Source organism: Homo sapiens, chromosome 19 (assembly GCF_000001405.40).
Source record: "Homo sapiens chromosome 19, GRCh38.p14 Primary Assembly".
In the NCBI taxonomy this organism is placed as follows: domain Eukaryota; kingdom Metazoa; phylum Chordata; class Mammalia; order Primates; family Hominidae; genus Homo; species Homo sapiens.
Genome location: NC_000019.10, coordinates 36312676 through 36333718, shown reverse-complemented (window position 1 = coordinate 36333718; position 21043 = coordinate 36312676). Strand labels below are relative to the sequence as shown.

At 46.0% G+C, this 21043-nt stretch overlaps 2 long non-coding RNA genes across 6 annotated transcripts in view, besides 1 other annotated feature; one reads left to right on the top strand and one right to left on the bottom strand.

Moving 5' to 3' along the window:
* Nucleotides 1–1965: 1965 nt before the first annotated feature.
* LINC00665 (long intergenic non-protein coding RNA 665) lies at nt 1966–20658 on the top strand. Of its 3 annotated transcripts, none has more exons than NR_038279.1 (6): nt 2001–2272; nt 3227–3466; nt 11689–11726; nt 12362–12419; nt 17649–17762; nt 20397–20658. It is a non-coding gene; the product is annotated as a long intergenic non-protein coding RNA 665 (long non-coding RNA). The 3 variants fall into 3 exon arrangements; NR_038278.1 differs by lacking the exons at nt 17649–17762; nt 20397–20658 and adding exons at nt 11494–11589; nt 12959–14003; NR_199171.1 differs by lacking the exons at nt 11689–11726; nt 12362–12419; nt 17649–17762; nt 20397–20658 and adding an exon at nt 6494–8812 and having other exon boundaries at nt 1966–2272.
* Nucleotides 5457–5958: an enhancer, noted in NCBI's record as "H3K4me1 hESC enhancer chr19:36818663-36819164 (GRCh37/hg19 assembly coordinates)". NCBI's record gives its function as "activates a minimal SCP1, AML or CMV promoter by ChIP-STARR-seq in primed H9 embryonic stem cells {active_cell/tissue: H9 hESC(primed)}" and the evidence as "EXISTENCE:reporter gene assay evidence [ECO:0000049][PMID:30033119]".
* The window catches only part of CYKILR (cyclin dependent kinase inhibitor 2A regulated lncRNA), a gene marked incomplete at its 3' end in the record, with an annotated part of 52208 nt that continues 43592 nt past the window's right edge, over nt 12428–21043 (bottom strand). For all 3 annotated transcript variants that reach the window (NR_199170.1, NR_199167.1, NR_199166.1), the window contains one exon: nt 12428–12699. This is a non-coding gene — a long non-coding RNA (cyclin dependent kinase inhibitor 2A regulated lncRNA). The remainder of the gene's footprint in view (nt 12700–21043) is intronic.

The following is a 21043-nucleotide window of genomic DNA, read 5'->3' as shown; positions in this document are numbered from 1 at the left end:
GGAGTTCAAGACCAGCCTGGCCAACATGGTGAAACCCCATCTCTACTAAAAATACAAAAATTAGCTGGGCGTGGTGGTGCTCACCTGTAATCCCAGCTACTCGGGAGGCTGAGGCAGGAGAATCTCTTGAACCCAGGAGGCAGAGGTTGCAGTGAGCCGAGATCGCGCCACTGCACTCCAGCCTGGGTGACAGAATGAGACTCCCTCTCAAAAAAAAAATTTTTTTTTTAGGTATTGATCATTTTAGGTATTAAACATTTATAACCTGACCTCAAGTTATCTGCCTGCCTCGACCTCCCAAAGTGCTGGGATTATAGGCATAAGCCACCAATTCTGGCCTCTTTTTCTCTCCAATTCTGAAGCTTCACCACAAAGCAGTCAGAAACCAGGGACAGTAAGCCAGGAAATGAGGAAAAGAACTGAAAAGGCAGAAGCCATCCATATTTTATTTCCTCCTCTGCCATCTTACCACACTCCTTCCCCTTCCCCCACAGCATGGCTGAACTAAGGGAGAGCAGAACCCTCATCTGTAAAAAATGCTTAAGGTTTCTTTTTCTTTCCCTCCCTCCCTCCCTTCCCTTCTGTGGGGAAAAGAGAGATCAGACTGTTACTGTGTCTATGTAGAAAGAAGTAGACATAAGAGATTCCATTTTGTTCTGTACTAAGAAAAATTCTTCTGCCTTGAGATGCTGTTAATCTGTAACCCTAGCCCCAACCCTGTGCTCACAGAGACATGTGCTGTGTTGACTCAAGGTTCAATGGATTTAGGGCTATGCTTTGTTAAAAAAGTGCTTGAAGATAATATGCTTGTTAAAAGTCATCACCATTCTCTAATCTCAAGTACCCAGGGACACAATACACTGCGGAAGGCCGCAGGGACCTCTGTCTAGGAAAGCCAGGTATTGTCCAAGATTTCTCCCCATGTGATAGCCTGAGATATGGCCTCATGGGAAGGGTAAGACCTGACTGTCCCCCAGCCCGACATCCCCCAGCCCGACACCCGAAAAGGGTCTGTGCTGAGGAGGATTAGTAAAAGAGGAAGGCCTCTTTGCAGTTGAGGTAAGAGGAAGGCATCTGTCTCCTGCTCGTCCCTGGGCAATAGAATGTCTTGGTGTAAAACCCGATTGTATGTTCTACTTACTGAGATAGGAGAAAACATCCTTAGGGCTGGAGGTGAGACACGCTGGCGGCAATACTGCTCTTTAATGCACCGAGATGTTTGTATAAGTGCACATCAAGGCACAGCACCTTTCCTTAAACTTATTTATGACACAGAGACCTTTGTTCACGTTTTCCTGCTGACCCTCTCCCCACTATTACCCTATTGGCCTGCCACATCCCCCTCTCCGAGATGGTAGAGATAATGATCAATAAATACTGAGGGAACTCAGAGACCAGTGTCCCTGTAGGTCCTCCGTGTGCTGAGCGCCGGTCCCTTGGGCTCACTTTTCTTTCTCTATACTTTGTCTCTGTGTCTCTTTCTTTTCTCAGTCTCTCGTTCCACCTGACGAGAAATACCCACAGGTGTGGAGGGGCAGGCCACCCCTTCAATAATTTACTAGCCTGTTCGCTGACAACAAGACTGGTGGTGCAGAAGGTTGGGTCTTGGTGTTCACCGGGTGGCAGGCATGGGCCAGGTGGGAGGGTCTCCAGCGCCTGGTGCAAATCTCCAAGAAAGTGCAGGAAACAGCACCAAGGGTGATTGTAAATTTTGATTTGGCGCGGCAGGTAGCCATTCCAGCGCAAAAATGCGCAGGAAAGCTTTTGCTGTGCTTGTAGGCAGGTAGGCCCCAAGCACTTCTTATTGGCTAATGTGGAGGGAACCTGCACATCCATTGGCTGAAATCTCCGTCTATTTGAGGCTGACTGAGCGCGTTCCTTTCTTCTGTGTTGCCTGGAAACGGACTGTCTGCCTAGTAACATCTGATCACGTTTCCCATTGGCCGCCGTTTCCGGAAGCCCGCCCTCCCATTTCCGGAAGCCTGGCGCAAGGTTGGTCTGCAGGTGGCCTCCAGGTGCAAAGTGGGAAGTGTGAGTCCTCAGTCTTGGGCTATTCGGCCACGTGCCTGCCGGACATGGGACGCTGGAGGGTCAGCAGCGTGGAGTCCTGGCCTTTTGCGTCCACGGGTGGGAAATTGGCCATTGCCACGGCGGGAACTGGGACTCAGGCTGCCCCCCGGCCGTTTCTCATCCGTCCACCGGACTCGTGGGCGCTCGCACTGGCGCTGATGTAGTTTCCTGACCTCTGACCCGTATTGTCTCCAGATTAAAGGTAAAAACGGGGCTTTTTCAGCCCACTCGGGTAAAACGCCTTTTGATTTCTAGGCAGGTGTTTTGTTGCACGCCTGGGAGGGAGTGACCCGCAGGTTGAGGTTTATTAAAATACATTCCTGGTTTATGTTATGTTTATAATAAAGCACCCCAACCTTTACAAAATCTCACTTTTTGCCAGTTGTATTATTTAGTGGACTGTCTCTGATAAGGACAGCCAGTTAAAATGGAATTTTGTTGTTGCTAATTAAACCAATTTTTAGTTTTGGTGTTTGTCCTAATAGCAACAACTTCTCAGGCTTTATAAAACCATATTTCTTGGGGGAAATTTCTGTGTAAGGCACAGCGAGTTAGTTTGGAATTGTTTTAAAGGAAGTAAGTTCCTGGTTTTGATATCTTAGTAGTGTAATGCCCAACCTGGTTTTTACTAACCCTGTTTTTAGACTCTCCCTTTCCTTAAATCACCTAGCCTTGTTTCCACCTGAATTGACTCTCCCTTAGCTAAGAGCGCCAGATGGACTCCATCTTGGCTCTTTCACTGGCAGCCCCTTCCTCAAGGACTTAACTTGTGCAAGCTGACTCCCAGCACATCCAAGAATGCAATTAACTGTTAAGATACTGTGGCAAGCTATATCCGCAGTTCCGAGGAATTCATCCGATTGATTATGCCCAAAAGCCCCGCGTCTATCACCTTGTAATAATCTTAAAGCCCCTGCACCTGGAACTATTAACTTTCCTGTAACCATTTATCCTTTTAACTTTTTTGCTTACTTTATTTCTGTAAAATTGTTTTAACTAGACCTCCCCTCCCCTTTCTAAACCAAAGTATAAAAGAAGATCTAGCCCCTTCTTCAGAGCGGAGAGAATTTTGAGCATTAGCCATCTCTTGGCGGCCAGCTAAATAAATGGACTTTTAATTTGTCTCAAAGTGTGGCGTTTTCTCTAACTCGCTCAGGTACGACATTTGGAGGCCCCAGCGAGAAACGTCACCGGGAGAAACGTCACCGGGCGAGAGCCGGGCCCGCTGTGTGCTCCCCCGGAAGGACAGCCAGCTTGTAGGGGGGAGTGCCACCTGAAAAAAAAATTTCCAGGTCCCCAAAGGGTGACCGTCTTCCGGAGGACAGCGGATCGACTACCATGTGGGTGCCCACAAAAATTCCACCTCTGAGTCCTCAACTGCTGACCCCGGGGTCAGGTAGGTCAGATTTGACTTTGGTTCTGGCAGAGGGAAGCGACCCTGATGAGGGTGTCCCTCTTTTGACTCTGCCCATTTCTCTAGGATGCTAGAGGGTAGAGCCCTGGTTTTCTGTTAGACGCCTCTGTGTCTCTGTCTGGGAGGGAAGTGGCCCTGACAGGGGCCATCCCTTGAGTCAGTCCACATCCCAGGATGCTGGGGGACTGAGTCCTGGTTTCTGGCAGACTGGTCTCTCTCTCTCTCTTTTTCTATCTCTAATCTTTCCTTGTTCAGGTTTCTTGGAGAATCTCTGGGAAAGAAAAAAGAAAAACTGTTATAAACTCTGTGTGAATGGTGAATGAATGGGGGAGGACAAGGGCTTGCGCTTGTCCTCCAGTTTGTAGCTCCACGGCGAAAGCTACGGAGTTCAAGTGGGCCCTCACCTGCGGTTCCGTGGCGACCTCATAAGGCTTAAGGCAGCATCCGGCATAGCTCGATCCGAGCCGGGGGTTTATACCGGCCTGTCAATGCTAAGAGGAGCCCAAGTCCCCTAAGGGGGAGCGGCCAGGCGGGCATCTGACTGATCCCATCACGGGACCCCCTCCCCTTGTTTGTCTAAAAAAAAAAAAAGAAGAAACTGTCATAACTGTTTACATGCCCTAGGGTCAACTGTTTGTTTTATGTTTATTGTTCTGTTCGGTGTCTATTGTCTTGTTTAGTGGTTGTCAAGGTTTTGCATGTCAGGACGTCGATATTGCCCAAGACGTCTGGGTAAGAACTTCTGCAAGGTCCTTAGTGCTGATTTTTTGTCACAGGAGGTTAAATTTCTCATCAATCATTTAGGCTGGCCACCACAGTCCTGTCTTTTCTGCCAGAAGCAAGTCAGGTGTTGTTACGGGAATGAGTGTAAAAAAACATTCGCCTGATTGGGATTTCTGGCACCATGATGGTTGTATTTAGATTGTCATACCCCACATCCAGGTTGATTGGACCTCCTCTAAACTAAACTGGTGGTGGGTTCAAAACAGCCACCCTGCAGATTTCCTTGCTCACCTCTTTGGTCATTCTGTAACTTTTCCTGTGCCCTTAAATAGCACACTGTGTAGGGAAACCTACCCTCGTACTGCTTTACTTCGTTTAGATTCTTACTCTGTTCCTCTGTGGCTACTCTCCCATCTTAAAAACGATCCAAGTGGTCCTTTTCCTCCTCCCTGCCCCCTACCCCACACATCTCGTTTTCCAGTGCGACAGCAAGTTCAGCGTCTCCAGGACTTGGCTCTGCTCTCACTCCTTGAACCCTTAAAAGAAAAAGCTGGGTTTGAGCTATTTGCCTTTGAGTCATGGAGACACAAAAGGTATTTAGGGTACAGATCTAGAAGAAGAGAGAGAACACCTAGATCCAACTGACCCAGGAGATCTCGGGCTGGCCTCTAGTCCTCCTCCCTCAATCTTAAAGCTACAGTGATGTGGCAAGTGGTATTTAGCTGTTGTGGTTTTTCTGCTCTTTCTGGTCATGTTGATTCTGTTCTTTCGATACTCCAGCCCCCCAGGGAGTGAGTTTCTCTGTCTGTGCTGGGTTTGATATCTATGTTCAAATCTTATTAAATTGCCTTCAAAAAAAAAAAAAAAGGGGAAACACTTCCTCCCAGCCTTGTAAGGGTTGGAGCCCTCTCCAGTATATGCTGCAGAATTTTTCTCTCGGTTTCTCAGAGGATTATGGAGTCCGCCTTAAAAAAGGCAAGCTCTGGACACTCTGCAAAGTAGAATGGCCAAAGTTTGGAGTTGAGTGGCCCCTTGAAGGGTCACTGAACCTCACAATTGTTCAAGCTGTGTGGCGGGTTGTTACTGAAACTCCCGGCCTCCCTGATCAGTTTCCCTACATTGATCAATGGCTGAGTTTGGTCAGGAGCACCCCTTCCATGGCTCCACTCATGCACCATTCATAATTTTACCTCCAAGGTCCTCCTGAGCCAGACCGTGTTTTCGCCTCGACCCTCAGCCGGTTTAGCTCGCCCTGTACTGCCTCTCTCTGAAGAAGAGGAGAGTCTCCCTCACCCAGTCCCACCGCCTTAAAACCAGCCTACTCCCTTAGGGTCATCCCATGTCTCCTCGGCTATGTCCCCTGTAGGCTCATCACCCATTGCCTCTTGGTTGCAACCGTGGTGGGAGGAAGTAGCCCCTCTACTACCACTGAGAGAGGCACAAGTCCCTCTGGGTGATGAGTGCTCCACCCCCTTCCTGGTTTATGTCCCTTCTTTCTACTTCTGACTTGTATAATTGGAAAACCCATAATCCTCCCTTCTCTGAAAAGCCCCAGGCTTTGACCTCACTGATGGAGTCTGTACTCTGGACACATTGGCCCACCTGGGATGACTGTCAACAGCTCCTTTTGACCCTTTTCACCTCTGAAGAGAGGGAAAGTATCCAAAGAGAGGCCAAAAAGTACAACCTCACATCAACCAATAGGCCGGAGGAGGAAGCTAGAGGAATAGTGATTAGAGACCCAATTGGGACCTAATTGGGACCCAAATTTCTCAAGTGGAGGGAGAACTTTTGACGATTTCCACCGGTATCTCCTCGTGGGTATTCAGGGAGCTGCTCAGAAACCTATAAACTTGTCTAAGGCGACTGAAGTCGTCCAGGGGCATGATGAGTCACCAGGAGTGTTTTTAGAGCACCTCCAGGAGGCTTATCGGATTTACACCCCTTTTGACCTGGCAGCCCCCGAAAATAGCCATGCTCTTAATTTGGCATTTGTGGCTCAGGCAGCCCCAGATAGTAAAAGGAAACTCCAAAAACTAGAGGGATTTTGCTGGAATGAATACCAGTCAGCTTTTAGAGATAGCCTAAAAGGTTTTTGACAGTCAAGAGGTTGAAAAACAAAAACAAGCAGCTCAGGCAGCTGAAAAAAGCCACTGATAAAGCATCCTGGAGTATCAGAGTTTACTGTTAGATCAGCCTCATTTGACTTCCCCTCCCACATGGTGTTTAAATCCAGCTACACTACTTCCTGACTCAAACTCCACTATTCCTGTTCATGACTGTCAGGAACTGTTGGAAACTACTGAAACTGGCCGACCTGATCTTCAAAATGTGCCCCTAGGAAAGGTGGATGCCACCGTGTTCACAGACAGTAGCAGCTTCCTCGAGAAGGGACTACGAAAGGCCGGTGCAGCTGTTACCATGGAGACAGATGTGTTGTGGGCTCAGGCTTTACCAGCAAACACCTCAGCACAAAAGGCTGAATTGATCGCCCTCACTCAGGCTCTCCGATGGGGTAAGGATATTAACGTTAACACTGACAGCAGGTACGCCTTTGCTACTGTGCATGTACGTGGAGCCATCTACCAGGAGCGTGGGCTACTCACCTCAGCAGGTGGCTGTAATCCACTGTAAAGGACATCAAAAGGAAAACACGGCTGTTGCCCGTGGTAACCAGAAAGCTGATTCAGCAGCTCAAGATGCAGTGTGACTTTCAGTCACGCCTCTAAACTTGCTGCCCACAGTCTCCTTTCCACAGCCAGATCTGCCTGACAATCCCGCATACTCAACAGAAGAAGAAAACTGGCCTCAGAACTCAGAGCCAATAAAAATCAGGAAGGTTGGTGGATTCTTCCTGACTCTAGAATCTTCATACCCCGAACTCTTGGGAAAACTTTAATCAGTCACCTACAGTCTACCACCCATTTAGGAGGAGCAAAGCTACCTCAGCTCCTCCGGAGCCGTTTTAAGATCCCCCATCTTCAAAGCCTAACAGATCAAGCAGCTCTCCGGTGCACAACCTGCGCCCAGGTAAATGCCAAAAAAGGTCCTAAACCCAGCCCAGGCCACCGTCTCCAAGAAAACTCACCAGGAGAAAAGTGGGAAATTGACTTTACAGAAGTAAAACCACACCGGGCTGGGTACAAATACCTTCTAGTACTGGTAGACACCTTCTCTGGATGGACTGAAGCATTTGCTACCAAAAACGAAACTGTCAATATGGTAGTTAAGTTTTTACTCAATGAAATCATCCCTCGACATGGGCTGCCTGTTGCCATAGGGTCTGATAATGGACCGGCCTTCGCCTTGTCTATAGTTTAGTCAGTCAGTAAGGCGTTAAACATTCAATGGAAGCTCCATTGTGCCTATCGACCCCAGAGCTCTGGGCAAGTAGAACGCATGAACTGCACCCTAAAAAACACTCTTACAAAATTAATCTTAGAAACCGGTGTAAATTGTGTAAGTCTCCTTCCTTTAGCCCTACTTAGAGTAAGGTGCACCCCTTACTGGGCTGGGTTCTTACCTTTTGAAATCATGTATGGGAGGGCGCTGCCTATCTTGCCTAAGCTAAGAGATGCCCAATTGGCAAAAATATCACAAACTAATTTATTACAGTACCTACAGTCTCCCCAACAGGTACAAGATATCATCCTGCCACTTGTTCGAGGAACCCATCCCAATCCAATTCCTGAACAGACAGGGCCCTGCCATTCATTCCCGCCAGGTGACCTGTTGTTTGTTAAAAAGTTCCAGAGAGAAGGACTCCCTCCTGCTTGGAAGAGACCTCACACCGTCATCACGATGCCAACGGCTCTGAAGGTGGATGGCATTCCTGCGTGGATTCATCACTCCCGCATCAAAAAGGCCAACGGAGCCCAACTAGAAACATGGGTCCCCAGGGCTGGGTCAGGCCCCTTAAAACTGCACCTAAGTTGGGTGAAGCCATTAGATTAATTCTTTTTCTTAATTTTGTAAAACAATGCATAGCTTCTGTCAAACTTATGTATCTTAAGACTCAATATAACCCCCTTGTTATAACTGAGGAATCAATGATTTGATTCCCCAAAAACACAAGTGGGGAATGTAGTGTCCAACCTGGTTTTTACTAACCCTGTTTTTAGACTCTCCCTTTCCTTTAATCACTCAGCCTTGTTTCCACCTGAATTGACTCTCCCTTAGCTAAGAGCGCCAGATGGACTCCATCTTGGCTCTTTCACTGGCAGCCGCTTCCTCAAGGACTTAACTTGTGCAAGCTGACTCCCAGCACATCCAAGAATGCAATTAACTGATAAGATACTGTGGCAAGCTATATCCGCAGTTCCCAGGAATTCGTCCAATTGATTACACCCAAAAGCCCCGCGTCTATCACCTTGTAATAATCTTAAAGCCCCTGCACCTGGAACTATTAACGTTCCTGTAACCATTTATCCTTTTAACTTTTTTGCCTACTTTATTTCTGTAAAATTGTTTTAACTAGACCCCCCCTCTCCTTTCTAAACCAAAGTATAAAAGCAAATCTAGCCCCTTCTTCAGGCCGAGAGAATTTCGAGCGTTAGCCGTCTCTTGGCCACCAGCTAAATAAACGGATTCTTCATGTGTCTCAAAGTGTGGCGTTTTCTCTAACTCGCTCAGGTACGACCGTGGTAGTATTTTCCCCAACGTCTTATTTTTAGGGCACGTATGTAGAGTAACTTTTATGAAAGAAACCAGTTAAGGAGGTTTTGGGATTTCCTTTATCAACTGTAATACTGGTTTTGATTATTTATTTATTTATTTATTTTTTTTTTTTGAGAAGGAGTTTCACTCTTGTTGCCCAGGCTGGAGTGCAATGGTGCGATCTTGGCTCACTGCAACTTCCGCCTCCCAGGTTCAAGCGATTCTCCTGCCTCAGCCTCGAGAGTAGTTGGGATTATAGGCATGCGCCACCACACCCAGCTAATTTTGTATTTTTAGTAAAGATGGGGTTTCTTCATGTTGGTCAAGCTGGTCTGGAACTCCCCGCCTCGGGTGATCTGCCCGCCTCGGCCTCCGAAAGTGCTGGGATTACAGGTGTGATCCACCACACCCAGCCGATTTATATGTATATAAATCACATTCCTCTAACCAAAATGTAGTGTTTCCTTCCATCTTGAATATAGGCTGTAGACCCCGTGGGTATGGGACATTGTTAACAGTGAGACCACAGCAGTTTTTATGTCATCTGACAGCATCTCCAAATAGCCTTCATGGTTGTCACTGCTTCCCAAGACAATTCCAAATAACACTTCCCAGTGATGACTTGCTACTTGCTATTGTTACTTAATGTGTTAAGGTGGCTGTTACAGACACTATTAGTATGTCAGGAATTACACCAAAATTTAGTGGCTCAAACAATCATTTTATTATGTTTGTGGATTCTCATGGTCAGGTCAGGATTTCAGACAGGGCACAAGGGTAGCCCACTTGTCTCTGTCTATGATGTCTGGCCTCAGCACAGGAGACTCAACAGCTGGGGTCTGGGACCATTTGGAGGCTTGTTCCCTCACATCTGATACCTGGCTTGGGATGTTGGAAGAGGGGGTGAGCTGAGACTGAGTGCCTATATGTAGTGTTTCCATATGGCCTTGACTTCCTTACAGCCTGGCAGCCTCAGGGTAGTCAGAATTCTTAGGAGGCACAGGGCTCCAGGGCAGATGCTGAGGGGTCTTTTATGAGGTAGCACAGCAAATCCACCCAGGATAGGGGAGACAGGACATCGATTCTGCCTCCCAAAGGGAGGAGTGGCAAGAAATGTTCAGCTATTTTTTAAAACTATCACAGCAATATTAATATGTCAGAAAAAATTAAAGCATCCTGATAGCTGCATTTCTAAGTAATTGGTCTCCTTTGAAATTCTATGAATTGTGTTTTTTTATAGTTTATGGCATTATTCTGAGGAGGGGTCAAAGACTCTCCCATATGTTAGAAGGGTCCTGCACAGAACAGGCTCACCCCCGCCCACGTCCCCCAGTGTTTGAAATGCATAGTGTTTGCTCTGGTTTATTGGTTAGGGCAGGACTTTCTCATTTGTTTTAGATCTAACAGCAGTTTAGAAATTGGCCTGTAACTTTTTTTTGGCCTGATTTCCTTCTGTTTGTGCCGATATTCTCACCTCAGTAGGAATCAGGAGCTTCTTTTGCTGTTCTTCTGTTTTGGATGCATTGGAAGGTAAGTTTCCTTGTGAACCATATTTTGGACTCATTTTGTAGGCTTTGCCAAATGGCCTTTTTACCCTCCTATAATGCATTTTCTTTGGATATTCTCCTAGATTCTCAGGGATATTTCCATATTTTACTATTCATGAGTTTAGAAGAGTGTTTACTTTCCTGAGTTTTCATTTCCTTCTTTTTCTTCTGTCATAGGTAATTTACAGAGCAAATAGCCACCAGAGAGGATACCGTAAGGGATGTGGAAAATGAGTTCTTTTGCGCTTATCCAGTGAGGTTGATTTTCAGTCAATGAGCATTCAGTATATGCCTGGGACTCTGGCTTTATTTTTTAGCTTTGTGATGCCAAACCCATCAATGAACTTCTCTGTATATTTGATTCATCATGAAATGGTGACACTGAGGGTGGCTGATTTCCAGGTTTACATCAGTTGCCCCAGGGGAAGTGCCTGGCCCTTGTCTGGTTGTTGCTGCTCTAACTTTGCCCTGTTAATTGAAGAAATGCGGCTGTAAACACTTCCTGGGGTGTTGCTGGTATTTTCTGTCCTCACAGTTTACAGAGAAACCCATATTTTCAGCCTCTTCCTCTGCTTTCTGTCTTTTCTGAACCATCTCACCCGACCTGGTGTAATCTTCATTGTGTGTGAGTTTGCACAGATGTAACATCTCCTCAAAGCCTAGTGCCCACCTCCCACCTCCACGAAAATCTGGAGCTCAGGAACCACCACTCTCCCCAACCCATTGCAGGCTTGAACATTTGATGGTGGAAACCCTGCCCTGAGTTTGTATTATGGTGGGTTCTCTTGGGTCTTGTTCTCTGTGGGTCTGTCCTGCGCTATAGTGTGTGGAGCCGGGGGGATTTTCACTGTGTTCCTAAAGGAAGGGCACAAGGAGTTGTTGGGCAAATGGTCTGATATTTCCTTTTTTTTTTTTTTGAAACAGAGTCTCACTCTGTTTCCCAGGCTGGAGTTCTGTGGCACCGTGTTGGCTCACTGCAACCTCCGTCTCCTGGGTTCAAGCAATTCTCTTGCCTCAGCCTCCAGAGTAGCTGGGATTACAGGTGCCCACCACCACACCCGGCTAATTTTTTTATATTTTTAGTAGACACGGGGTTTCACCATGTTGGCCAGGCCGGTCTTGAACTTGTGACGTCAGGTGATGCACCCGCCTTGGCCTCCCAAAGTGCTGGGATTACAGGTGGGTGCCTGGCCAAGGGGCTGATATTTCTTAAGGGCTTTCCCCAAGAAGGAAAAAGCCAAACCTACTCAGGCAAATCTTGTTTATTTATTCTTCTAGGTCCAGATTTTGAACAAATCTCGCTAGAGATTGAACAGGTAAGGCTCACCTTTCGATAGTTACACCAAGAAACGCCTAGCTGATGACTTAAGCTATGGTTTTGGGCAGCATGAGAGTGGTCAGGTGGACAGTAGGGAAGTCTATACAACCCAAAGGGAAAAGAGAAAAGGCCCATGAGAAATCAGGGCAAATTGCCACAGTGTGTTTTTCTTGATGGTGTCACTGAAATGTGGGTTACCTTCCCACTGTGTCCCCCAAAGGACATGAGGCCACAGACTGCAGTGCCCATGAACAGAGGAGCTGTGGGGATGGTGGTTTGATCGCTCCGTTCAAATGCACACCCCGGTGCATGTGCATCTCTTCTGATGCAGGGCCCCAGTGGGTAAGCTCTGTGCTTCTCCACACAGTGGATCAGGAGTGGAAACATTCTGTCTGTTTAGCGCTTGATGGTTTGGTGGTGACCTCATGTCATGGTGATTAGAGCCAGTGATCCTAACAGTTTAAAATTGTTGAGCTTGTGGGTAGGTATTTGGGAGATAGTATGTGTGTTACCTAGTGTTTGTCATCTGCAGTGGTTTTGTTACTTTTTGCATAAACTGTGGAGAATGTTTACTAACTGCAGATGATAGAGAAATCATCAGTCACTCTAAAATCCTCCCATTTCTTGGTCTAGAGCTGCGCCTGGATCCCGCCACAGTGAGGAGACCTGAAGACCAGAGAAAACACAGCAAGTAGGCCCTTTAAACTACTCACCTGTGTTGTCTTCTAATTTATTCTGTTTTATTTTGTTTCCATCATTTTAAGGGGTTAAAATCATCTTGTTCAGACCTCAGCATATAAAATGACCCATCTGTAGACCTCAGGCTCCAACCATACCCCAAGAGTTGTCTGGTTTTGTTTAAATTACTGCCAGGTTTCAGCTGCAGATATCCCTGGAAGGAATATTCCAGATTCCCTGAGTAGTTTCCAGGTTAAAATCCTATAGGCTTCTTCTGTTTTGAGGAGGAGTTCCTGTCAGAGAAAAACATGATTTTGGATTTTTAACTTTAATGCTTGTGAAACGCTATAAAAAAAATTTTCTACCCCTAGCTTTAAAGTACTGTTAGTGAGAAATTAAAATTCCTTCAGGAGGATTAAACTGCCATTTCAGTTACCCTAATTCCAAATGTTTTGGTGGTTAGAATTTTCTTTAATGTTCTTGAAGAAGTGTTTTATATTTTCCATCAAGATTAATTCTCTCTCTCTTTTTTTTTTTTTTTTTTTTTTTTAGACGGAGTCTTGCTCTGTTGTCCAGGCTGGAGTGTAGTGTGGCGATCTCGGCTCCCTGCAAGAATCTGCCTCCCAGATTCACGCCATTTTCCCACCTCAGCCCCTGGAGTAGCTGGAAGTACAGGCTCCCGCCACCACGCCTGGCTAATTTTGTTTTTGTATTTTTAGTAGAGACGGGGTTTCACTGTGTTAGGTAGGATGGTCTCGATCTCCTGACCTCATGATCCATCCGCCTTGGCCTCTCAAAGTGCTGGGATTACAGGCATGAGCCACCGCACCTGGCTGTTTTTTCATTTCTATTATGATTTGTTCTGTGGAATGTCAGTGACTTAGCGGTGTTTTTCACATGTTTATAAAGCTGAATAGTTCTGTATGTCAGCTCAGCACCCCTAGTGTCAGTCATGCTACTCTCCTGCTGTGCATAGATGGGGGCCTGTCCACACCCAAATCTCCTGGGTTCCCGCTGTCCGCACCTGAAGGTACCCACCAGATGTGTCTGTCACTGCCCTCCATCCACCTTTCTTGTGGTTCTCATGTTTCTGCCTCCCTAGAGACCATTTCTCTCTACAGCAGTAGTTTCCAATAGAAATACAATGCCAGACACATACGTCATTTTAGATTTTCTAGTAGTCACTTTAGAAAAGTGAAAAAGAGGCCAGCTGCAGTGGCTCACACCTGTAATCCCAGCACTTTGGAAGGCTGAGGTGGGTGGATCACGAGGTCAGGAGATCGAGACCATCCTGGCCAACATGGTGAAACCCCCTCTCTACTAAAAATACAAAAAATTAGCTGGGCGTGGTGGCAGGCGCCTGTAGTCCCAGCTACTCGAGAGGCTGAGGCAGGAGAATGGCGTGAACCCGGTAGGCAGAGCTTGCAGTGAGCCGAGATAGCGCCACTGCACTCCAGCCTGGGCGACAGAGGGAGACTCCATCTCAAAAAAAAAAAAAAGGTTACAAAGAAACAGGTGAAATTAGTTTTATTTCACCTAAAATGTTAGCATTATCCAAAATATCACTTCAACATCTTATCAAAATAAAAATTATTAATGAGATAGCTTACAGTCTTTCTTTTCTTTGAGACAGGGTCTTGCTTTGTGGTCCAGGCTGGAATGCAGTGGCACCAGCATAGCTCATTGCAGTTTCAGACTCCTGGGCTTGAGATCCTCCTGCCTCAGTCTTCCTAGTATTCGGACTACAGGCACACACCACCATGCCACGCTAGTTTTTTTTTTTTTTTAAAGACAGGGTCTCACTCTGTCAGCCGGGCTGGAGTGCAGTGGCACAATCTCGGCTCACTGCAGCCTCGATCTCCGGGGCTGAAATGATCCTCCCACCTCAGCCTCCCAAGTAGCTGGGACCAAAAACATGTGCCACCACGCCTGAATAATTTTTGTATTTTTTTGTTAAGACAGGGTTTCGGCATGTTGTCCAGGCTGGTCTTGAACTCCAGAGCTGAAGTGATCCACCCACCTTGGCTTCCCAAAGTGTTGGGATTACAGGCATGAGCCACTGCACTCGGCCTAATTTTTTTTTTTTCTGAAGAGATGAGGTCTTGCTATGTTGCCCAGTCCAGTCTCAAACTTCTGGCTCAAGCAGTCCTCCCGCCTTGGCCTTCCAAAGTGCTGGGATTACAGATGTGAGCCACCACACTGGCCCATTCTTTCTTTTATACTGAGTATTCAGAATTTTTTTAAAATGTGTTTTCCACTTACAGCATTTCTCAGGTTGGACTAGCCATCTTTCAAGTGCTCAGCAGCCACATGTGGCAAGTGGCTGCCTTATTGGACAGCACAGCTCTGGAGGGTGATTTTATGTACATCCCCACTGCTCTCTCTGCCTCCTTTATTCCCATCTACCCCACACCCCTGCAGTCTGTGACTATCGTGTCCCTCTCTCCTCTCTTTCTGTCTCTTGTAATTCTTTAATATGGAGAATTATTTCCAATTCCTTAACATCCTGCGCTGATTTTTTTCTGTCTTACATTCAAGGGTCACAGTTTTCCTCTCACCCTCATTTCAGTCTTTTCCCATAACACGTGACGTGCCTTTTTGTCTTGGTTGGGTATTTATTTGCAATACAAGAATGATTGTTTTCTTTGATACATTAGTGACTTACATAGTTTTCATGTTTTTTGAGTACCTCTTTCTTGACAGAATTTCAAATTAATTCTAGCGTTAAACTAGAAATCTTTTTTTTTTTTTTTGAGACACAGTCTTCCTATGGCAACCAGTCTGGAGTGCAGTGGTGCAATCTCAGCTCACTACAACCTCTGCCTTCCAGATTCAAGTGATTCTCCTGCCTCAGCCTCCCGAGTACCCGGGATTACAGATGTGCACCACCATGCCTGGCTAATTTTTGTCTTTTTAGTAGAGACAGTTTTTTGCCATTTTGGCTAGGCTGGTCTTGAACTCCTGACCTCAAGTGATCTGCCTGCCTCAGCTTCCCAAAGTGCTGGGATTACAGGGGTGAGCCACTGTGCCCAACCTAGAAAGCTTATTTTATTTTATTATTATAATTAATTTTATTTTTTTGAGATGGAGTCTCGCTCTGTTGCCCAGGCTGGAGTGCAGTGGCGCAATCTCTGCTCACTGCAAGCTCCACCTCCCAGGTTCACGCCATTCTCCTCCCTCAGCCTCCTGAGTAGCTGTGACTACAGGCGCCCGCCACCACACCTGGCTAATTTTTTGTATTTTTCATGGAGACAGGGTTTCACCATGTTAGCCAGGATGGTCTCAATTTCCTGACCTCGTGATCCACCCGCCGTGGCCTCCCAAAGTGCTGGGATTACAGGCGTGAGCCACCGCGCCTGGCCTATAATTAATTTTTTTGAGATGGAGTCTTACTCTGTCTCCCAGGCTGGAGTACAGTGGCACATCTTGGACCCCTGCAACCTCTGCCTCCTGGGTTCAAGCAGTTCTCTCTACCTCAGCCTCTCCAGTAGCTGGGATTACAGGTGCCCACCACCATGCCCAGCTAATTTTTGTATTTTTAGTAGAGATGGGGTTTCACCATGTTGGCCAGGCTGGTCTCGAACCCCTGACCTCAGGTGATACGCCCGCCTCGGCCTCCCAAAGTGTGAGATTACAGGCATCAGCCACTGCACCCGGCCAGAAAGCTTATTTTAAAAGGTGTGTATAGAGCCCCTTATGTTTCTGCTTGATTTTTTAAATAACATATTTATGTCTATATATTTTAGGATGTAATATCTCACTGTATGTGTTGCTTTGCATCATTGAACATTTTTGGTAATTATTTTCTATATATTTTAGATATTTCATTAAACTAATACAGAATTTCATATTCAGGGCCAGGCATAGTGGCTCATGCCTGTAATCCCAGCACTTTGAGAGTCCAAGGCGGGCGCATCACCTGAGGTCAGGGGTTCGAGACCATCCTGGCCAACAAGGGAAAACCCCATCTCTATTAAAAATACAAAATTAGCCGGGTGTGGTGTTGCACGCCTGTAATCCCAGCTACTTGGAAGGCTGAGGCAGGAGAATCGCATGACCCCGGGGGCAGAGATTGCAGTGAGCTGAGATCTTGCCACTTCATTCCAGCCTGGGCCACAGAGCAAGACTCCTTCTCAAAAAAAAAAAAAAAAAAAAAAAATTCATATTCGCTCATATCAAAAATGAAAATTTATTTTTGCAAATTTCTAAGTGATAGAATTATTTTAATGTAGGAAAGGTTCATCAAAAATGGGTGTAGTGATTGTGTTCTTTCCTATGCTCGAATGGAAAATGATGAGGGGACACGATGTTAGAGTTGCAGTGGGAAGGGGTGGAAAAGAGGGATTCCAGAGTGCCAGGCACACAGGTTTTCTGGAAGGTTTACATGAGGACTGCTGTGGTTTGAATGTGTTCCCCAAAGTTCATGTGTTGGAAACTCAACCCCTAATGCAACAGTGTTGACCAGTGGAACCTTTAAGAGGTGATTAGGTCATGAAGGCTCTGCCCTCATGAATGGATGAAGCTAGAGTGGGTTAGTTATCTTGGGAGGGGGTTCCTGATAAAAGGATGAGGTTGGCTTCCTTCCCTTTCTCTTTCCCCCTCCCCCCTCTCACATGTGGTCACTCTCTTGCCCTTCCACCTTCCACCATAGGACGGCACAGTGAGACCTTCACCAGATGCAGGCCCCTCACTTTCCCAGTGTTCAGAACCGTAAACCAAGTGAACTCTTGCTTATAAATCACCCAGTCTGTGGTATTCTGTTATAGCAACACAAACGGACTAAGAGAGGGACACTCAGTGGGCTCTTCTACTTGATGGAGCACTCCCTGCGTGGTGCCTTGTATTTGTAGACATGATGCTGTAAATGCTCTTTGAATGTCTTGAAGGCTTTTATGTTTGAGGAGTTTACAGAGAAGCACCTACAGGCTTCAGGTCCCTTCTTCTGTTGCTTCTTTGCTCCTTAGTTCCTCCCCTAACCTGGTGCTAAATTAGATCATAGTGTGGTCCTTGGACCAACAGTATCAATAGCACCTGAAAATCATGCTGGAAATACAGATTCACAGGCTGCTCCCTAGAATACTGAAGAAGAAACTCTAGGAGTGAGACCCAACAATCTGTATTTAACAAGTCCCCAGGTGAGTCTGATGCACACAGAAATGTGAGCTGCTGTATTAGATGGTGTTGAGTTCATGCCACCGAATCACTGACACACACGTCTGCTCACTGCTTGCTCTTTGCACAGGCCCCTGGATCCTCCTGGAATCCCCGATCCCTCTTGCTCCCTGGCAGAGTTTTCTAGTCCCTCTTACTTGAAGCATGTCTTTCAGAGCCCGGCACCACCCATCTTGAGTATCTGGTGAGTTCTGTGGTCTGCATGTCCATGTTTGGGACATTCTGGGAAGGGTGGCCCAGGCTGTGATTTGCCATCTACTGCAGGCTATGGATGGTATTCAGAAGGGAGGGGAGATGCTGTGTGCGTGTTCTGAAGGGTTTCCCACTAAACAGATCAACCCTCTCCATAACTATTTGATTTTTACTTTATCTCCTCGTTGACTTCACAGTGTCAGTGCAGTTTGTGTAAACATCTCTATGGGGTGATGCATGCAGATAAATGTTTATGTGAACATATAAAGTCTGCATGTGTGGGTGAACACTCCACATCAGGTCATTGTCCATCATTACATATCTGTGGTGTCTGGCTCATTCGTCTCGTTTTCTGTCATTTTACCTACTTTTACCTGAAGTACAATGACTATTTAATAACTATTAAATGTTTCATTTCAGCTACACCTCTATGGTATTTTTTTCACCTCATATCATACCTTCCTCCCTCACTGGACTTCAGTGTGGGACCTGCAGGTCTCAGGCCTTCTGGGAAGTCCCAGCTTTTCTTGAATGTTTTCTCTCTCTGGCCAGCTCAGGCTGGAGCAGTGGGTGTTGGTGCCATCCTGTGGCTATAGGTGATAAGCCGGCTGTTCTTCACTGACCTGGTCTTACCTTGAACCCTGGAGTTCTCACATGCATGGATTTAAATGCTGTGTCTTTCTAAGGGCACATTATGGCCATTTTCCTTATCTCCCTCCCAAGGGGCTGTTTGCTGTGTTTATTGACTCCCTGTTTAAAAAACATATATATATATATATATATAGACGAATTAGGTTGTACCCCATAAATTGCATGTTTGAAAAATATTTCAAAGAATAGTTTATTTTTTTTTGCTGATTTTTATGTATCTTCTAAATTGTATATATTTATGGGGTATAAAATGATGTTGTGATTTTTCAATACAGTGTGGAATGAGAATCAAATTAACCTATCCGTTACCTCAAGTACTTGACTTTTTTTGTGATGAGAAGGCTGTTTATCACTTTCACTCACCAGCTCCTGCTGTCTTCCATGCTGGGGACAGGAAAGGCTCCACGCTTGACTTTCCCTCCTGTTTTCTTATCTGCTGTCAACCCCTGAATGTACCCTCCAGGATTGCCTTCTAGACCTTCTACATCTAGCTCGATCATTGTGCACCCACCTTCCTCCCAGGGACTGTCCTTAGGGAGTGACTTTATGCACAAACTTCACATGCTCTTCCTGCCTCCTTCATCCCCATAAGCCCCCATCTCAGCCCCATCTGATTATTTCTTCCCTGTCTCATTTCCTGTTATGCTGTTGGTTTTCTAACCTGAAGGGTAACTTCTTACTCCTTAGTTTTTTGCCTTAATTTCTAAGTCATAGGCTACTTTCAGGCTAAAAGTTTTCCTCCAGCCATGGTTTTAGTCTCATTCTATAAGTCTTGCTAGGTAGTTTATTCATTGGAAATTTTTTGTTTTTGAGACAGAGTCTCGCTCTGTCACCCAGGCTGTAGTACAGTGGTGCCATCTCAGCTCACTGCAACCTCCGGTTCCCGGGCTCAAGCAGTTCTCTTTCCTCAGCCTCCTGAGTAGCTGGGATTATGGGTGCCTGCCACCACACCCAGCTAATTTTTGTATTTTTAGTAGAGACGGCATTTCACCATGTCAGCCAGGTTGGTCTCGAACTCTTGACCTCAAGTGATCCGCCCACCTTGGCCTCCCAAAATACTGGGATTACAGGGGTGAGTCACCACACCCCACCCCTTGGCACTATATTTAAGTGATGATATTTTTGGACACTGAGGTAGCCTCATTCCACAGGTTTAGATCTGAAGCATTTTCACTATTGCTTCTTTCCATGTATTTCCTGGTTTGCAGGTCAGTTTCTTCTTTTAATTCATCATTGACACAGTGGTTTATATGGCTTTTAATTTCAAAAGATTTTTTAAAATATCTTTTTGCCGATTTTTATCTATGTTAATTTTAACTAGACATGTTCCCTGGAAGGACATCACTAGTTTTTTTTTTTTTTTTTTCACTCTGTTTATAATTTAGGTGGATTTTCACATCTCAAGCCAGCTAAGAGTATGGGAAATAGGACTCGTTAAAGCACAGATATCACACAAGTGATTCAGATTCACGAGGGTAATCCAGATGAAGGTATATCATTGTACCTGGCCCGCATCACTCAGTAACTGTCACCTTTGATTTATTGATTTACTTGAGATGGAGTTTGGTTCTGTCCCCGAGGCCGGAGTGCAATGGCGTGATCTCTGCTCACTACAACCTCTGCCTCCCAGGTTCAGAGTGATTCTCCTGCCTCAGCCTCTTTAGCTGGGATTACAGGCACCCACCAACATGCCCAGCTAATTTTTGTATTTTTAGTAGAGAGGAGCTTTCACCATAATGGCCAGGCTGGTCTTGAACCTCAAATGATCTGCCCACCTTGGCCTCCCAAAGTGCTAGGATTACAGGCTGGAGCTACAGAGCCCAGCCTGTCACCTTGATTTAAATGAATGCAGCTTTCTTGGTGTCTTGATGTTTGTGAATTTCTGTGGAGTTTGATACTGCTCCTTTTGCTGCTTGTTTTTCCAGAGTCCCCTTATCACTTGACGTGCTGTTATATTATGTTTGATTTATTACAGATACCCCATCAGCCTGAGTCTCTTAAAGGCCTTTATACACATATGTCTACACATAGGGATTTGGATGATCTCGGGATCCCACATCCTCGCTGTCCCCTGTCCCCCCGCAACATCCCCCACCAATACCTTTCTGAAGTTTTCTAGTCCCTCCTTTTTGTTTGTGCTCCTTAAAGCCCAGCCCCATGCCTGACTTTGGTTCCCAGTGAGCATTGTACATTTGTGGATATTAAATCTTTGGCAAAGTCATTTACCTGGGCTGGAATAGGGCTCTTGGCTGATTCTTTTTCCTAAACACCCACCCAATGGGAGAGGCTGATACTCAACATGCAAACCTTGTGTTTTATTTCTCCAGGCGAAGGGATGTTGGAAGACATTCTGGAAGGGGTGGGGTGTGAAGATTTACAAATAATCTTTGAATATCTGCTTCATGATAGGTCTTGGAGGTGCCTTGTGGGTGTGGCTTTGGGGGGATGGTTACGAGGAAATTGTGGATATTAAGGAAGTCAGGAAAGGAAAAGATCAGTCACAATTCAACAATTCAGAGAAAGCTCCTAAGGGACTTTCTGGCTGCTTGATGCCCAGAGGCCAGGCCCTCACTTCGTATTAAGGCTCAGGACTGTGGATAGAGAATTTAAAGGGGCACCAAA